Below are 18,899 nucleotides of genomic sequence, written 5' to 3'. Positions count from 1 at the left end.
CACTGCGCCCGGCCATAAGTACTAAGTTATAAATTTGTCTTTCTTTTCTTTTTTTTCTTTGAGATGGGGTCTCATTCTGCTGCCCAGGCTGGAGTGCAGTGGCATGATCGTAGCTCACTACAGCCTTGAACTTTGGGCCTCAAATGATCCTCTTGCCTCAGTCTCCCGAGTAACTAGGACTACAGGCACAAGCCACGTGGCTGGCCGAGTTTTGAAAACTTTTTGTGGAGATGGATCCTTACTAGGTTGCCCAGGCTTGTTTCGAACTCCAGGCTTCAAGCAATCGCCCTGCCTTGGCCTCCCAAAGTGTTGGGATTATAGACATGAGCCACCACGCCAGGCCAAATTTATTCTTTATTAAAATTTTTTCTTGTTCTTGGGAAACTTTTTGGTTAGTGCAGTTATCCCAGACGCCTCTTTCTTTGCTGGCCATTGCTTTGTGAATCTGTTCTGTTTAAGATATATATGGGACCTAGCTCAAACCTGCTAGGGAAGCACACAGACACACAGACACACACACACACGGTGTAGATTCTCTTTGCTGGCTAGAAACCTTTTTCGCTTTTTCAGTGACTGCACATGACAAAGAAAGCTTTTTCTTAAGAGGCCTACGTTAAAGAGTGCCTCTGATAGATTTATTTCTAAGACGAAGCAACAAAACACACCCACACATATTCTGTGTGTGCTTGAGATTTTCTGATTATTTGGTGAATCTGTATTTTTAGCAATTACTAGAAAAACACTTATATGATGAAGCCCAGTGAATTTGAGGATTGACATTTTTTACCTCAGTGGTCTTTTCCCAAACTATGTTTTTTGGAGCTATCACCTATATGCTACAGTAAAAATAGGTTCTCTGTTCTTTTTTGTTTTTTTTGTTTTTTGAGGCTGAGTCTCACTCTGTTGCCCAGGCTGGAGTGCAGTGGCACAGTCTCGGCTCACTGCAGCCTCTACCTCATGGGTTCAAGGGATTTTGCTGCCTCAGCTTCCCAAGTAGCTGGAATTACAGGCGCACACCACCACACCCGGCTAATTTTTGTATTTTTAGTAGAGACAGGGTTTCACCACGTTGGCCAGGCTGGTCTCAAACTACTGACCTCAGGTGATCCACCCACCTTGGCCTCCCAAAGTGCTGGGATTACAAGCATGAGCCACTTTGCCCGGCTGGTTCTGTTTTCTTTGATTTTTTTTTTTTTTTTTTTAACTGAGACAGGGTCTTGCTATGTTGCTCAGGTCGATCTTGAACTCCTGGCCTCAAGGGATCCTCCTGCCTCAGCCTCCCAAAGTGCTGGGATTACAGACATGAGCCACCACATTTGGCCCTGGGTTTCATTTTCAAATAACTTTGGGAAACACTGCCAGATGGGTACAGTTTCCTCTTGGAACTTCATAATGCATGTTACACAAAGTGCTTTGAGTAGTTGCACATCAGTAACAAAAAACAACAAAATCATTCTTTAATTTTGTTTAAGCCAGCATTTTCCAAATTTATTTAAGCATGGAGTACTGTTTTTTTTTGTTGTTTGTTTTTTGAGACGAGTCTTGCTCTGTCTCTCAGGCTGGAATGCAGTGGTGCAGTCTCAGCTCACTGCAACCTCTGCCCCCGGGTTCAAGCGATTCTTGTACCTCAGCCTCCTGAGTAGCTGGGATTACAGGCATCTACCATCATATCTGGCTGATTTTTGTATTTTTAGTAGAGATGGGGTTTCACCATGTTGGCCAAGCTGGTCTCGAACTCCTGGCCTCAGGTGATCCACCTGTCTTGGCCTCCCAAAGTGCTGGGATTACAGGCGTGAGCCACTGCGCCCGGCCCTTTTATAGGTTTTTTTTTTTTTTTTTTTTTTTTGAGACAGAGTCTGGCACTCTCACCTGGGCTGGAGTGCAGTGGCACCATCTCGGCTCACTGCAAGCTCTGCCTCCGGGGTTCGCGCCATTCTCCTGCCTCAGCCTCCCGAGTAGCTGGGACTACAGGCTCCTGCCACCACGCCCGGCTAATTTTTTGTATTTTTAATAGAGACGGGGTTTCACCGGATTAGCCAGGATAGTCTCGATCTCCTGACCTTGTGGTCCGCCGCCTCAGCCTCCCAAAGTGCTGGGATTACAGGCATGAGCCATTGTGCCCGGCCTTTATAGGTTTTTAAAATAGCATGAAGAGTGTGAAGACAACAATAAATACCTAACTTTTCAATGCCCACACAGACGAAAATTCACAAGCTTCAAGACCATCCAGGAAAACATGACATCAACAAATGAAATACATAAGGCACCAAGGACCAGTTCTGGAAAAACAGAGATATGTGATCTTTCAGACAGAGAATTCAAAATAGCAGTTTTGAATTTAATTTTGCTCTTTTTTTTTTTTTTTAAACTTTCCACAGGAAAAGTCCATGTCAGATGGCATCACTGGTGAATTCTATAAAGCATTTTTAAAATTATTAGTTTTTATTATTTTATTTTAAAGTTATTGAGGTACAGGTGGTATTTGGCTACATGAGCAAGTTCTTTAGTGGTGATTTGTGAGATCCTGGTGCAACCATCACCCAAGCAGTATACTTGCTTATTGTTGAAGACTAATGAGAGTCTTCATGAGCTTTGATTTTAGTTGGTCTTAGCTCTGACTCTTTCCAGCTGGAAAGAGTCTCAGGCAAGTTCATCAATTTCTGTAAAGCTTAGTTTCCTCATCTGCATTAAGGGAATTATTTTAGCGCCTACTGCAGGTAGGTACTACAGGAGATAATTCATGTACTTACATCTGGCTATTGAAAAAGGCATTTCACCTATAACCCCACGAACCATCTTTTACTTTCTTATTTCATTCTCTCTCTCTTTCTCTGTCTCTCTCTGTATATGTGTCTAAAGCACAGTAGACACTTGACATTCTTGAGGGTTTTATGTCATAAGAGCTTTGTGAATCTCCGAATACTTTAATGGCATTAGAAAATATATATATTTTTTCTCATAAGAGAATTTTAAGTGATCTTTTAGACTCTTGATGAGTTACTTTGTATGCTATGAATAGAGAATAACAAAGCCATGTGAGAAGCAGTAGCTGAGCAGTTATCCAGGGCCACTCAGTAACTGAATGACTTGCTTCTGTCTGGCCACCCCTGTGCATGTACAGTTCACATATTTGCCTCATCAAAATTACACTGACTTTGAGGACTGCTTGAAAGTAGTAGAGGTTTGCATGTTAAGTTGCTGGCTGCCAAGAGTCACTATAGTGACGCAATTTTTAACATTAGGATTCTCATGTAGTTTTATGTTCTACTTTTAAAAAATATGTATCATGACTGTTTTCCCATGTATGTGTGTATTTTAAAGGTACTGCAACAGCCACTTGCAGGTACTTGGCTTTATCCCGAAAAAAGAGAGGAAGAAAAAGAATGATCCTATAGATGAGGTGAAGGTCAGGCACCAGATGGATACCATGGCCTTTAGCCTGACAGTGCCCACGTTGGCCTTGAAGATGCCCAACGGACTGGATGGAATGTCCCTCTCTCCACCTGGGGCAAGGGTCCCTCTCCACTACCTGGAAACCGAATTGGAAGACCCATTTGCTTTCAATGAGGAAGATGATGACCTAAAGAAAGGGGCAACTGTGAGAAAGAAGTTGCAGAGCAAGTTGGCCCAGAATCGGCAGCGCCAGAGAGAGACAGAGATTTTAAAAGTTCGACAAGAGCACTTTAGTCCCCCTCCTGCACCTTCACAGCAGCAGCCTCCGCAGCAGCACTCCCACCTGTCACCTTTATCTACTTCTTTAAAACCTCCAGCGCCACCGCAGGGTTCAGTCTGCAAGTCACCTCAACCTCAGAACACCAGCCTACCAATGCAGGGAGTGGCACCCACCACACACACTATAGCACAAGCACGGCAGTTGTCTCACAAGAGGCCTCTGCCCCTCCTGCCATCCAGTAGGGCTCCCACTGTGGACCCACCCAGGACTGACCGGATCCTCATGAAAGCCACAGCCTTCTCTCCACACTTCTCATGTATAAGCCGACTGCAGAGACTGGTGAAACTGTGCACCCAGAAACATCAGTTGGACACTGATCTGTTTCCCCATTTAGGTGAGTTATCTATTTTATCGTATCATAGACACATAATATGACAAAATGTGTTCGGTTGTGTGGAGCTTCCCTTTCATAATTACCCCATATGTGATGGGGGTGGAATCACAATGAGGCAGAGTGGTGCAGTGAAAGATTCTGTATTTAGGTAGACCACCTTAAAATAAACACAGTCGTCCCTCTACATGTGTGGTGGATTGGTTCCAGGTCTTCCCTCAGGCACTAAAATTTGAGGATACTCAAGATCCTGATATAAAACAGCATAGTATTTGCACATAACCTATGTACATTCTCCCATATTCTTTAAATCATCTCTAGATTACGTATAATACCTGATATAATGTAAATGCTATGAAAACAGTTGTTATAATGTATTGTTTAGGGAATAATGACAAGAAAAAAAGTCTGTATATGTTCAGTACAAATGGAATCTTTTTTCTCAAATATTTCTGATCAGCAATTGGCTGAATCCACAGATGTGGATCCCATGGATACAGAGGGCCAACACTGGAGGGTGTAACACTTGCTGAATAGGATACAGAAATAGGAGTTGGGAATTTAGAATTCCACACGCAGCTTTTATTTGTAGTGATAGCAGCATTAAAAGGCAGTTGTGTTTGGTTGTATGCTTTTATGAGTTTAACACCTGTGCATCTAGTGAAGTTCTTGGTGTGTCTTATTCTAGGAATGATCATAGCATTGTTGATATCTGCTGACAGTTTTAAAACATTTTTTCCTGTTTAAAAAATTCTCAAGGCAATACCTGTTAATGATTTAAGAGTGAGAAAATACAGGGAAAACTTGTAATTTAATGTAGTCACATGTCTATTTTTCTTTTGTTGCTTCTGAATTTCCTGTTTTGCTTAAGAAAACTTCCTCGATTCCAAGTTTATACAGATATTCTATGTTTTCTATTAATAGTTTGATTGGTTTTGATCATTTAAACCTTTAATTCAGTTGAAATTTATTCTCGAATGCAATATGAGCTATGATTTTCACTTCAGGAAAAATTATTTGCATAATATGACAGCAATAGAAATATGAGCAAAGATAGAACGTGAAGAGATATGAATAGTCAATAAACAAATGAATACCTCAATCCTCTCAGCAGGCAGGAAATACAAATTAAAGCAACAATGAATTACCAGATTGTGAAAAATGATATCCATTGTTGGTCAGGGTCAGGATATGGTATCTCATACATTGCTGGTGAGTAATTTAGCAATATCTACTAATTTAAAATATATGTATAGGCTGGGCTTAGTGGCTTATGCCTGTAATCTCATTACTTTGAGAGGCTGATGCAGAAGGATCACTTGAAGCCAGAGGTTTGAGACCAGCTTAGGCAACATAGTGAGATCCTGTCTCTAAAAAAACAAAAATAGGCCGGGTGTGGTAGCTCACGCCTGTAATCCCAGCACTTTGGGAGGCTGAGGTGGGCAGATCACCTGAGGTCAGGAATTGGAGACTAGCCTGGCCAACATGGTGAAACCCTGTCCCTACTAAAAATGCAAAAAATAGCCGGGTGTGGTGGTGCATACCTGAAGTCCCAGCTATTTGAGAGGCTGAGGTGGGAGAATTGCGTGAACCTGGGAGGTGGAGGCTGCAGTGAGCCGAGATTGTGCCACTGCACTCCAGCCTGGGTGACAGAGCGAGACCCTGTCTCAGACAAACAAACAAAATATATTTGTAGCCAGCAGACTCACTTTTGGGACACTATCCTGTGGATTAAAAAAATCAAAATGTAAGGATATATGTGCAAGGATGTTCACTGAAACATTGTTTGCAGCATTAAAAACCTGCAAAGAAACAATTACTGATAGGAAACCTTGACTAAATTATTGTTCATATAAGTTTTATGAAATATTATGTAGCAGGCTGGGTGCAGTGGCTCATACCTATAATCCTAGCACTTTGGGAGGCCGAGGTGGGAGGATCACTTGAGCTCAGGAGTTCAAGACCAATCTGGGCGACACAGTAAGACCTTGTCTCTATTGTATAAAAAAAAAAAAAAGAAAAGAAAAGAAATATTATATAGCTATTAAAAAGAATGAATGAGGCCAGGTGTGGTGGCTCATGCCTGTAATCCCAGCACTTTGAGAGGCTGAGGCCGGTGAATCACCTGAGGTCAGGAGTTCGAGACCAGCCTGGCCAATATGGCAAAACCCTGTCTCTACTAAAAATACGAAAATTAGCTAGGCATGGTGGTGTGCGCCTGTAATCCCAGCTACTTGGGAGGCTGAGGCAGGAGAATTGCTTGAACCCAGGAGGCGGAGGTTGCAGTGAGCGGAGATTGTGCCATTGTACTCCAGCTTGGGCAACAAGAGCGAAACTCCATCTCAAAAAAAAAAAAAATTCTGTATCTTTTGACCGGGATGTGTCCATGGTATATTAAAAAGTGGAAAAAAGAAATCAAGAGGTAATTATTATCCCATTTTGGTAAAAATAAACAAAGTAAATAAACAGGGGATATCAATATATTTATTGATTAAGTATATGGCTATTGGCCTGATTGATGTGAGCAAAGGTAAAAGTATAAAAGGATATATACTTCCAGACTGTTAACATCAGCTACCCTAGGGAGGATGGAATTGGACAGGGTATATTTTATAGGAGTTGGGAGTGGTGGCTTTTCTTATAGCTTTTTATTGTTTCACCTGTTGTTAAACCATCTGTGACTTTTCGTGATTAAAATACAAAAGTTAAAAAATTTATAAACAAAAATAATAAATTAAAACACTCCAAGCCATATTAATACCCATTTGTTAATACCTTGATATATTCTTTCTAATATATAAAATTGGGCTCTTACTATACATGCTGTTTTGTAACCTGGTTTAAAATTTTTCATACTAATGTATTTTCAAGTTGGTAATTTTTCATATGCAGTGTAATTTGTCATGGCTGAATTCTGTCTTCCATTTAAGTTGTATCCAGCTTATGTCCTTATAAACTGTCGTAGATGTATATAGCCTTGCAGTAAAACAATTATTGCCACATCTTTTTTTCTTCAAATAGATTGTTAATTCAGACTAAAAGTGGAATTGCCGATTCCAAGCTTTAGCTTTTAAAAAAAAAAAAGTTTTGATATATGTTGCCAAATTTTCCTTCAGAATTATTTTGTCAGCTTATCTTCTTTAAGCAGTGTGTGAAAATAACAGTTTCTCTAAATCTTTATCAGCCCTGGGTAGTAGTATTATTGTTATTATTGCCTTTGCAAATTAGATAGAAAATCTGCTTAAATTTACATATCTTAGATTAGTGTTTCTCAAATATTTGGTTTTAGGATCCTTTACACTTAAAAATTAATAAGGAAACCATAAAGCTCTTATGTATGGGTTGTATCTATTTATACTGTATTAGAAGCTAAAACTGATAAATTTAAAATATAATTTTTTTTTTTTTTGAGACAGGTTCTTGCTCTGTTGCCCAGGCTAGAGTGCAGTGGCATGATCATGGCTCACTGCTGCCTTGACCTGCTGGGCTCAAGTGATCCTCCCACCTCAGCTTCCCAAGTCACTGGGACCATAGGCACACACTACCACAACTGGCTAATTTTTTTTTCAGATTTTTTGATAGAGATGGGGTCTCACTATGTTGCCCAGGCTGATCCTCCTGTCTTGGCCTCCCAAAGTTCTGGGATTACAGGCACAAGTCACTGTGCCTGGCCTGTCAGATTCTCTTTCAAATAAAAATGATGATGAAGGCTGGGTGTGGTGGCTCACACCTGTAATCCCAACACTTTGGGAGGCTGAGGCGGGTGGATCACGAGATCAGGAGTTCAAGTCCAGCTTGGCCAACATGGTGAAACCCCGTCTCTACTAAAAATACAAAAACTTAGCTGGGCGTGGTGGAGCGTGCCTGTAATCCCAGCAACTTGGGAGGCTGAGGCAGGAGAATTGCTTGAACTGGGACCCGGGAAGCGGAGGTTGCAGTGAGCCGAGATCGCACCACTGGACTCCAGCCTGGGCTACAGAGTGAGACTCCATCTCAAAAACAAAAAAATGATGATGAATGAGAAAAAGCAGTTTGGTCAGGTTGCAATAAAAACAGTTGTGTAAGTCCTCTTCCTCAGGACAGCTGTCATGCTTTCTTCCTTTGCAGCAGATTCACATTTACTCACACAGAATAGTATAAAGACATGTGCTCAGGGATCGATTTAATAAAAATAAATAATCTTTAACAAACAAGAATATTCTCAAATAAAACTCCTTTACAACTGCGAGGCATGGCATGAGGAATACAATGACTCCTAGTAAGTCTGATGCCACTGCCTTGATTCATGGTAATTAAGGAGCCTGTAGTTTTACCTGTCATTGCTTTTATACCATCAGTGTGTCAACACAGTGAAAAAGGCACATAATGTTTTAATATTATTTTGTTGAAAATAGTTTTGAGGCCAGGCGAGGTGGCTCATGCCAGTAATCTTACCACTTTGGGAGGCCAAGACAGGAGGATCACGTGAGCCCAGGAGTTCGGGACCAGCCTGGGAAACATAGTGAGATTCTCTTTTTTAAAATTTAAATTAAAAAAAAAAACTTCTTAGAAAGAATATAGTGTTGACCTATATACTCCAAGAATATTTCAAGGACTTCTGGGGATCTGTGGACCATACTTTCAGAACTGCTATTTTGGATTAATAATATAGTTGAGTATTCGTTCATATGATTTTTGGACATTTTGTTTATTTTGCCTTTCACTTCTTCCATCCATATATTTATTTTCTATTGATTGGTAAGAGCTTTTTATATGTATATTATATTTGTTGGAAAGTCTCTCCCTCCTCTCCTTTGTTTTTTGCTTCCGGGTATCTGTTATAGCCAGGCACAGTTGCAAACTTGTAATCTCTGCTACTTGGGAGGCTGAGGCGGAAGGATCCCTTAAGTCCAAGAGCTTATGACTGGCAGTGAGCTATAATCATGCCACTGCGACAGAGCTGAGACCCCGTCTCTGAAAAAAAAAAGAAAAGAAAAGAAAAGAAATATCCATTGTAGGAATTTAAAAGTTAAAATTTTTATGTATTCTCTTCTTTAAGATTTCTTTCTTTTGAGTCTGGGTTTTGGTTTGCTTGCTTATTTGGATTCTCTTCATCCCAAGAATATATGAACATATTCACCCGTATTTTCTTTTAGTCCTTTTATCATTTCATTATTTACATTTTATCTAGCTGGAACTCATTTAGACATTAGTTTTGAGGCAGAGATCTAAGAAATTTTTGTTGTTGTTGTTGAGACGGAGTTTCGCTCTGTCACCCGGGCTGTAGTGCAGTGGCGGGATCTCGGCTCACTGCAAGCTCCGCCTCCCGGGTTCACGCCATTCTCCTGCTTCAGCCTGCCGAGTAGTTGGGACTACAGGCGCCCGCGACCACGCCCAGCTAATTTTTTGTGTTTTTAGTAGAGACGGGGGTTTCACCGTGTTAGCCAAGATGGTCTCAATCTCCTGACCTCGTGATCCGCCCGCCTCGGCCTCCCAAAGTGCTGGGATTACAGGCGTGAGCCACCGCGCCCGGCGAAATATAACAATTTTTAAAAAATGTTTGCCTCTAATTCCAACACTTACCGGCATCATCTACTAAATTTTTATTTATAATTTCATTTATTTCTGGATGCTGATAATTTTTTAGCTTTTGAAATGATGAAATATTATGTCATCTTAGGGGCTGATTTTTTAATCTTTTTTTTTTTTTTTTTTTTTTTTTTTTCTTTTGAGACGGAGTCCTGCTCTGTCACCCAGGCTGCAATGCAGTGGCGAGGTCTCGGCTCACTGCAACCTCCGCCTCCCGGGTTCAAGCGATTCTCCTGCCTCAGCCTCCTGAGTAGCTGGGACTACAGGCGCATGCTACCACATCCAGCTAATTTTTTGCATTTTTAGTAGAGACGGGGTTTCAGTATATTGGCCAGGCTGGTCTTGAACTCCTAATCTTGTGATCTGCCCGCCTCGGCTTCCCAAAGTGCTGGGATTACAGGCATGAGCCACTGTGCCCAGCAATTTTTAAATCATTTTTAAACAGAATGAAAACACACAGAAAAAGTTTTCAGCCTTTTAAATTTTTTTTTTCTTTTTTTGAGATAGAGTCTCGCTGTGTTGCCCAGGCTGGAGTGCCGTGGTGTGATCTCAGCTCATTGCAACCTCTGCCTCCCAGCTTCAAGTGATTCTCTTGCCTCAGCCTCCTGAGTAGCTAGGATTACAGGTGCATACCACCACGCCTGGCTCATTTTTTGTATTTTTAGTAGAGATGGGGTTTCACCACGTTGGCCAGGCTGGTCTTGAACTCCTGACCTCAGGTGATCCACCCGCCTTGGCCTCCCAAAGTGCTGGGATTACAGGCGTGAGCCACCATGCCCGGACGCCCTTTTAAATTTTTTAAAATGCAAACATATTAGAGGCCTAAGATTTCAAAGCAAAAGTTACTTTGGGGAAACCAGAAATAGTAATGCATATACTCTGTAATCTTATGACAGAGTGTAGTCTGTATTCATGTCAGCAAAGAGTATTTAAATAAAAACTCAGTCTTATTATTAGCCTTTATAGTCCTGTCTGGGCTAGTTATGTCAGCTAGTTACATTAAAACTAGTGATAATGAAGCCAAGATCAAAGGTTTGCTTTATTGGACAGTTAGTTTCACAGCAGGAAAAACACTTCCGTCTTAGTTTTTATGACTTAGATCTTGACTTCCTCAGAGAAAGTCAAGACACCTCAGAGGTGTCTTAGGAGAAATTATTCTATTGAAACAAATAAAAGATAACTCATGTTCTGTTTTTCAGTGGTGCCTTAAATGTCACTTTGAAGGACCTTACCTTTCAACACACTGAAGTTGATGCTGTGATCATTTAATTGCTTTTTTACCTTTTCCCCCTACAAATTATTAATTATTTCAGTTGAGAAAGTAACTCATTTTTAAAGGTGACCTGACATTTTAGATAGTCATCTTAGAATTAGATTTGAAGTTTCTTTATGCCAATGGCAATGTGTTATTTAATCTTAAGCATTCATAATTTGCATTTTAATTAACCTTTTCTTAATTTCCCTATTTGGCACATGTAAACTCATTTAAACTATGGAAGCAATCCATGAAGTCCTTTTTAATGTAACTGTCTAATGAGGATACTCTTGATTTTTGAGGTTCTCAAGAAGGAAGACATAAATAAAATACTAGTTATCAAGGTGTCTAGTAAGTTTCATAGAGGTATGGATATATTAAACTTACATAGTCCCACATACTGTTACACTTTAGGCTGTGCAACATCAGTCTTTATCAAGACCTCTTCAAGATATAAAACTTTTTTTCTTAACTTTTAGAGACAGGGCCTTGCTCTGTCACCAGGCTGAAATGCAGTTACATGATCATGGCTCACTGCAGCCTCAACCTCCTGGGCTCAAGGGTCAGTCGATCCTCCTGCCTCAGTCTCCTGAATAGTTGGGACTGCAGGCATGCACCACTCAGCCTGGCTAATTTTTAAGTTTGTTGTAGAGTCGGGGTCTTGGTGTGTTACCCAGGCTGGTCTCTAACTTCTTGCCTAAAGTGATCCCCTTGGCTCAGTGTCCCAAACTGCTGGGATTACAAGCATGAGCCGGTGCACCTGGCCAAGATACAAGACTTTTAAAAGGGTAAAACTTTTATGGCAGGAGCTAAAAATTATTCAGTCATTAAAAATTATAGCATTTGGCTGGGCACAGTGGCTCATGCATGTAATTGCAGCACTTTGGGAGGCTAAGGCAGGTAGATCATTTGAGCTCAGGAGTTCGAGAGCAGCCTGGTCAACATGGCAAAACCCGGTCTCTACAAAAAGTACAAAGATTAGCTGGGCATGGTGGTGCTGTCTGTAGTGCCAGCTACTTTGGAGGCTGAGGTGGGAGGATCACTTGAGCCCGGGAGGTCAAGGCTGTAGTGAGCTGAGATTGCACCACTACACTCCAACCTGGGCAACAGATCGAGACCCTTTAACAAAATATTAATAAATACTGTATCCACTTTTCCTTCTAACCTTGTTTTAGATAATGGAGCACAAAGTCTGACATTTTTTGTTTAAAATAATTGAAAGAGGCTGGGCACGGTGGCTCACGCCTGTAATCCCAGCACTTTGGGAGGCCAAGGCGGGTGGATCACAAGGTCAGGAGATCGAGACCATCCTGGCTAGCACGGTGAAACCCCGTCTCTACTAAAAATACAAAAAAAAAAATTAGCCAGGCGCGGTGGCGGGTGCCTGTAGTCCCAGCTACTCGGGAGGCTGAGGCAGGAGAATGGCGTGAACCCAGGAGGCGGAGCTTGCAATGAGCAGAGATCACGCCACTGCACTCCAGCCTGGGCGACAGAGCGAGACTCCGTCTCAAAAAAAAAAAATTGAAAGAAATCCGAAACCTCATTAGTAGTAGAACATTACCATCCTACCCTTCCATCTTCCCATGGAAGGTAAGAGCCAGGGAATGGTTTGGGAGAGGGGGATGGAGTGTTTCTACCTTTGACACTTTATCATAGGGCCCTTCGTTGTTGAAATGTAGAGTGACTCTATCTGCACTTTTTGATTTTTTTTTTTTGTTGTTTTCATAAAACCATTCAGAAGCAGGTATTGACCTTTTTCTTGCCTTAACATATATCGAGCTTCTTTTCTCACCCTCTTGTTTGTATTTTATGTTTTTCTGACATCATTTTAGTGTATTAAGTTTTGATACTTAAATTCTGGCCAGATGTGGTGGCTCACGCCTGTAATCCCAGCACTTTGGGAGGCCGAGGCAGGTGGATCACTTAAGGTCAGGAGATTGAGACCAGCCTGGCCAACATGGCGAAACCCCATCTCTACTAAAAATACAAAAATTAGCTGGGCGTGGTGGTGCTCACCTGTAATACCAGCTACTTGGGAGGCTGAGGCATGAGAATCACTTGAACCTGGAAGGCAGAGGTTGCAGTGAGCCGAGATCATGCCACACTGTGCTCCAGCCTAGGTGACAGAGCAAGACCCTGTCTCAAAAAAAAAGAAAAGAAATTCTGCCTTTTTGTGACCTGAAATCTCTCTTTACTTGTGTTGTTTCTACCCCATTAGTGAAGTGTCTGACAAAAGAAGTTCATCTGTGGAATATAGCTTAGCCTTTTTGTTGTAATGTCATTTTAAAAACCCGATTGTGTGGCCAGGCGGTGGCTCACGCCTGTAATCCCAACACTTTGGGAGGCCGAGGTGGGTGGATCACGAGGTCAGGCGTTCAAGAGCAGCCTGGCCAATATGGTGAAACCCTGTCTCTACTAAAAATACAAAAATTAGCTGGGTGTGGTGGCTGGCGCGTGTAGTCCTGGCTACTCGGGAGGCCGAGACAGGAGAATCGCTGAACCCGGGAGGCAGAGGTTGCAGTGAGCCAAGATCGTGCCACTGCACTCCAGCCTGGGTGACAGAGTGAGACTCTGTCAAACAAAAACAAAAACAAACCGATTATCTTTGTAAGAATAGAAATGAGATTCATCAGGAGACATTTATTCACACCATGATAGTACTTGCAATAGGTATGTTGGGTTATGTTATTTTGTGTAGCTTTTTAGTTTAAATTTTGAATAAAAGTAAACTTTTTCTAATTTGCAATATCTCCTGTCTAACCCAGGTTTGGACTGGTCTGAAGAGAGCGGAGAGGAACCAGAGGACTCAGAGCAGGCCTCGCCCTACCAGGTTGCATGGTCCATCCGGGAAACCCTCAGATATCAAAGACATGCGTAAGTCTTCTGTTCTGTTTTTATTCTTTTTTTTTTGAGACGGAGTCTCGCTCTGTCACCCAGGCTGGAGTGCAGTGGTGTGATCTCAGCTTACTGCCACCAAGCCTGACTAATTTTTTTTGTATTTTTAGTAGAGATGGGGTTTCACCATGTTGGCCAGGCTGGTTTTGAACTCCTGATCTCAAGTGATCTCTCCGCCTAGGCCTCCCAAAGTGCTAGGATTACAGGCATGAGCTACCACGCCCGGCCCTAGTTTCCTTCTTGAATGACCACTGTAGCAGATTGATATTTCCCACTATATATGCTGATACTTTTATGTTATTAGATCTAGTTTTATTGTAAAATAAAGGTAAAAAAAGACTTCACTCTAAAAAATTGGTGGTAAAATAGATTCCACTTGGGAGTAAATGTACTATATTGTTTGTAAATGTACTATATCGTTTGAGCAAAGCTACTCTTAAATTTTCTTGGTAAATTTGCTTCTGTACCTTTCCCATTCATCATTAAAGGAATTAATTATAATAGAACCTAGAATTGAAAAGAACCTTAGAGATTAATTGATCCAATTTCCTCATTTTACAGAAGAGGAAAGCAAGGCCCACATAGGTTGAGGAACTTGCACGTGGTCCCTTGGGGGGCTACGTGGAGTCCCACTATCTTGCCTCTCTGTATCTTCCTTGGCTGTACATCTCCACAGTAGTAGAAATAGTGCTTTTTTACTTCACCTCTATCTTCTGCAACATTGATCCATTCTTTATTTCTACTGTGCTACAATTTTTTTTTTTTTTAGGCTAGATCTCCTGAGGGGTTTTCTTTGTACCTTCCTTATTGGAAAGCTGTCGGGGTATACTGACAGCTCTCTTCAGTTTTTTTCCCCATGTTATGTCTTCGGAAAAGAAGTGTTTGTCTAAGATCTGTAGAAGTTGAATGCACATCCTCTTCAATGATAGTAAGAAAATGAATTTTTTTAGGAGACTCCTTTTAGCATTCTACAGATTCACTTGGTACAGTTTGACAATACCAAGATAGATCCTTGTCTACCAAAAGATGACTCACTTACTCAGCTAACCATTTATTTAAAATGTTGTGGTTTGAATAGATATTCAGCAATGTAGAGGGAGATCAGCTATCTGTGATGGTTTTTGAGTTTATAGGATTAAAAATGTGATTTGTTAGTATACCTAGAGGTGATTAGGCTTAGGGAACTGATTCACTAGAGACTAATCTGTACACTAAAATGCCAGCTTATAATGAGAAATACAATCATCAAATAGTACAAATGGTCACTAAACAAAACTACACAGGAAGCAAATTATCATCAGAAGCTTATTTGGACATGGAATTAGAGCAAGTAGGGTTAGTTGGATTTTATTAGTGGTCACTGTCTTAAATTATAATAGCATGATGTATCTATTCCACTCTTTGGATTTATCTCCCACCCAGTTGTTCCTCACTTACCCCCTAGATAGTATTGGAGAATGTTATACCTTTTTTTCTTACACTGAGGTTCCATTTTATATGTCATTCAAGACTGTTTCCTTACCTTACCATTAGCAGGTTCTTTCAGATACAGCACAATAGAGTCAATTGAGCTTAAGCTTTTTAGTTATAGATACCATCAGTCATACTTCCTAATGGTAATTCGTATCAGCTTAATTTGACTTGTGATATTTTGGGTTAATTTTACAAATCCAGCCAAAACCTGGTACATGGGAAATTATTAATAAATGGTAGTTATCATTCTTAATTTAATTCTTAAGGTAACCTTGACATCAGTATAGGGAGTATATGCTATTGATTAGGAACAATGTGTATTCTATTCTGCCTTCTATTCTTGCAGAGTTATCAAAATACTTCTTTTGTTGTTTCAGATTTGTGGCCATCCTCATTTTTCTTTATCTCTGTAGCATGTTACTTTCTTGGCCACTTTCATAACTTGCTTCCTCTTTGATTACTACGATACTCTGCTCCCCTGGTTCTTTTCCTTTACTCTGTTTTCCTCCTTTTTTTTTTTTTTTTTTTAACAGGTATTTATCCTTACTTCTTGCCCAGCTGCTGTTTCCATCTTTTCCCCTTCATTCTTTTCCTTCACTCAGTCATTCATTTTTCATTCATTTGTTCATTTACTTATTCAGCACTTTCTTGTTGGGCTATTATGCTCCAGTCAGGGAGCACTGTATATTTTTAATGTTGGGCAAACATGTTGGTTTACCCACCCATCTATTCCTGTAACTCCACATTTGTATCTGCCACTCTGCCCTCTAAGAGGAATCTCTGTCCTGTATTTTAATTAATTAATTAATTAATTCTTTGAGACGAGAGTCTTGCTGTTGCCCACAGTAGAGTGCAGTGGCATGATCACAGCTCACTGCAGTCTTGAACTCCCAGGCTCAAACAATCCTCCTGCCACAGCCTCCCGAGTAGCTGGAACTACAGGTGTGCACCACCACATTTGGCTAATTTTTAAGTTTTTTGTAGAGATGGGGTCCTGTTATGTTTACCCAGGCTGGTCTGGAACTCCTGGTCTGAAGGGATCTTCCTGCCTTAGCCTCCCAAAGTGTCAGGATTATAGGCATGAGCGACCATGCCTGACCTGTCCTGCATTTTAAACTTCCATCTTTATTCCAATTTCTTGTTGCAGCTACCTGTCATTTGTTGTACCTTGCTGTGTTTCAGTGTAGTAGAAAATGGGGAGCTGTAGAAAATTGGCCCTACCTCGGCCAGGCACAGTCGTCACGCCTGTAATCCCAGCACTTTGGGAGGCCGAGGCAGGCGGATCACAAGGTCAGGAGATTGAGACCATCCTGGCTAACGCGGTGAAACCCCGTCTCTACTAAAAATAGAAAAAATTAGCTGGGCCTGGTGGCGGGTGCCTGTAGTCCCAGCTACTTGGGAGGCTGAGGCAGGAGAATGGCGTGAACCTGGGAGGCGGAGCTTGCAGTGAGCCGAGATCGTGCCACTGCACTCCAGCCTGGATGACAGAGCGAGACTCCATCTCAAAAAAAAGGAAAAGAAATGAAAATTGGCCCTACCTGGCTGAGCACGGTAGTTCACGCCTGTAATCCCAGCACTTTGGGAGGCCGAAGTGGGCGGATCATGAGGTCAGGAGTTCGAGACCAGCCTTACCAACATGGTGAAACCCCATCTCTACTAAAAACACAAAAATTAATCGGGTGTGGTGGTGCACACCTGTAATCCCAGCTACTCAGGAGGCTGAGGCAGAAGAATTGCTTGAACGCGGGAGGCAGAGGTTGCAGTGAGCCGAGATTGTGCCACTGCACCCTAGCCTGGGCAACAGAGTGAGAGTCTGTCTCAAAAAAGAAAAGGAAAGAAAAGAAAATTGGCCCTACCTAGGCTGTTCATTATATCTTCAAGAGGGTGTTGCCATGCCAAATGCCTCAATAAGTTCATTGAGTTTTTAAAAGAAAACTGACAGTTGTCTGGCCACCAAATTTGTGCCTAAAGAATCTTTTTGTGAATTTTTTGGTAATGCAGGATTGTGCCATAAGGAATTTGTTTGTTTGTTTGTTTTGAGTCAGGGTCTTACCCTATCACCCAGGCGGGAGTGCAGTGGTGAGATCATAGTTCACTGCAGCCTTGACTTCCTGGGCTCAAGTGATCCTCCTGCCTCAGCCTCCTGAGTAGCTGGGACAACAGGTGCAGGCCACCATTTTAAATTTTTGTAGAGATAGGCTCTTACTATGTTGCCAATGCTGGTCTCAAACTCCTTGCTTCAAGGAGTCCTCCTGCGTTGACCTTCCGAAGTATTGGGATTACAGGCGTGAGCTGCTGTACCCAGCCCTAAAGGCTTTTTTTTTTTTTTGAGACAAAGTCTCGCTCTGTCGTACAAGCTGGAGTGCAATGGCACGATTTTGGCTCACTGCAACCTCCGCCCCCCGAGTTCAAGTGATTCTCCAGCCTCAGCCTCCCGAGTAGCAGGATTACAGGCGCCAGCCACCACGCCTGGCTAACTTTTCTATTTTTAGTAGAGACAGGGTTTCACCATGTTGGCCAGGCTGGTCTCAAACTCCTGACCTCAGGTGATCCACCTGCCTCCGCCTCCCAAAGTGCTAGGATTACAGGCGTGAGCCACCTTTTAATATTGCTTTTGGTTTCTTTGATTCTCTTTATTGTTTTTAATTTCATTGCTTTGTGTTCTAATTCCCATTATTTCCTTCTGCTTGTTTTGAATGCAATTTGCTTGTCTTTTTGTAGTTTTTAAGGTGACAGCTTAAGTCAGTTGACTGAGATCTTTATTGTTTTCTAATATTGACTCTTCATGTTATACACTTCCCTCTAAACACTGGTTGTAGCTGTGTCCCACAAATTTTAATACATTTTCATTTTTATTCAGTTAAAAATACTTTTTTTTGAGACAAGGTTTCACTCTGTCATCCAGGCTGGAGTGCAGTGGCATGATTACGGCTCAACTGCAGCCTTGACCTCCTGGCTTAAGAGATCCACCCATGTCAGCTTCCTGAGTGACTGAGATCATAGGCGTGTGCTACCACACCTGGCTAATTTTAATTTTTTTATTTTCTTGTAAAGATGGGGTCCCAAACTCCTGGGCTCAAGTGATCCTCCCACCTTGGCCTCCCAAAGTGCTATGATTACAGACATGAGCCACCATGCCCAGCCCCAAAATACTTTGTAATATCTCTTTTGATTTCTTGTTTGATCTATGGGCTATTTAGAAATGATACTTAGTTTTTGAGTATTTTGGGGTTTCCCAGATACTGATTTCTAGTTTAATTCTGTGATCACAAACCACATTTGAATATAGTATTCTATAAATGTAAATTAGGTCAAGTTGGTTAATAGTGTTGTTCATGTCTTCTACATCTGTGGTGATGTTTGTCAACTTGTTATATCAATTACTGAGAAAAGGATCTTGAAATATCTCTTTGTAAATTTGATTATTTCTCCTTTTGGATCTGTCATTGTTTATTTCCCACACTTTGTATTTCTGTTATTAGATGCATAATTGTTTAAGATTGTTTTGATGAAGTGGCCTTTTATTATTATAAAATGGTCCTCTATATCCCAGTAACAGTGTTTGCTTTGAGATCTTTCCTTATGTGGCATTAACATAGCCACTCCATCGTTCTTTTGATTAGTGAAAGCTTGGTATCTTTTTC

At 41.4% G+C, this 18,899-nt stretch overlaps 1 protein-coding gene across 8 annotated transcripts in view; it reads left to right on the top strand.

Moving 5' to 3' along the window:
• The window catches only part of INO80D (INO80 complex subunit D), a 92,454-nt gene that overhangs the window by 25,910 nt on the left and 47,645 nt on the right, over nt 1-18,899 (top strand). For all 8 annotated transcript variants that reach the window (XM_047444830.1, XM_011511375.3, NM_017759.5 and 5 more), the window contains 2 exons: nt 3,322-4,067; nt 13,653-13,761. In XM_047444830.1, coding sequence (XP_047300786.1) covers nt 3,419-4,067; nt 13,653-13,761 — 758 coding nt within the window. In that variant the 5' untranslated portion in view covers nt 3,322-3,418. The remainder of the gene's footprint in view (nt 1-3,321; nt 4,068-13,652; nt 13,762-18,899) is intronic.

This window comes from Homo sapiens, chromosome 2 (assembly GCF_000001405.40).
Source record: "Homo sapiens chromosome 2, GRCh38.p14 Primary Assembly".
Taxonomy (NCBI): Eukaryota; Metazoa; Chordata; class Mammalia; order Primates; family Hominidae; genus Homo; species Homo sapiens.
This window is presented reverse-complemented; position numbering and strand designations above follow the sequence as displayed.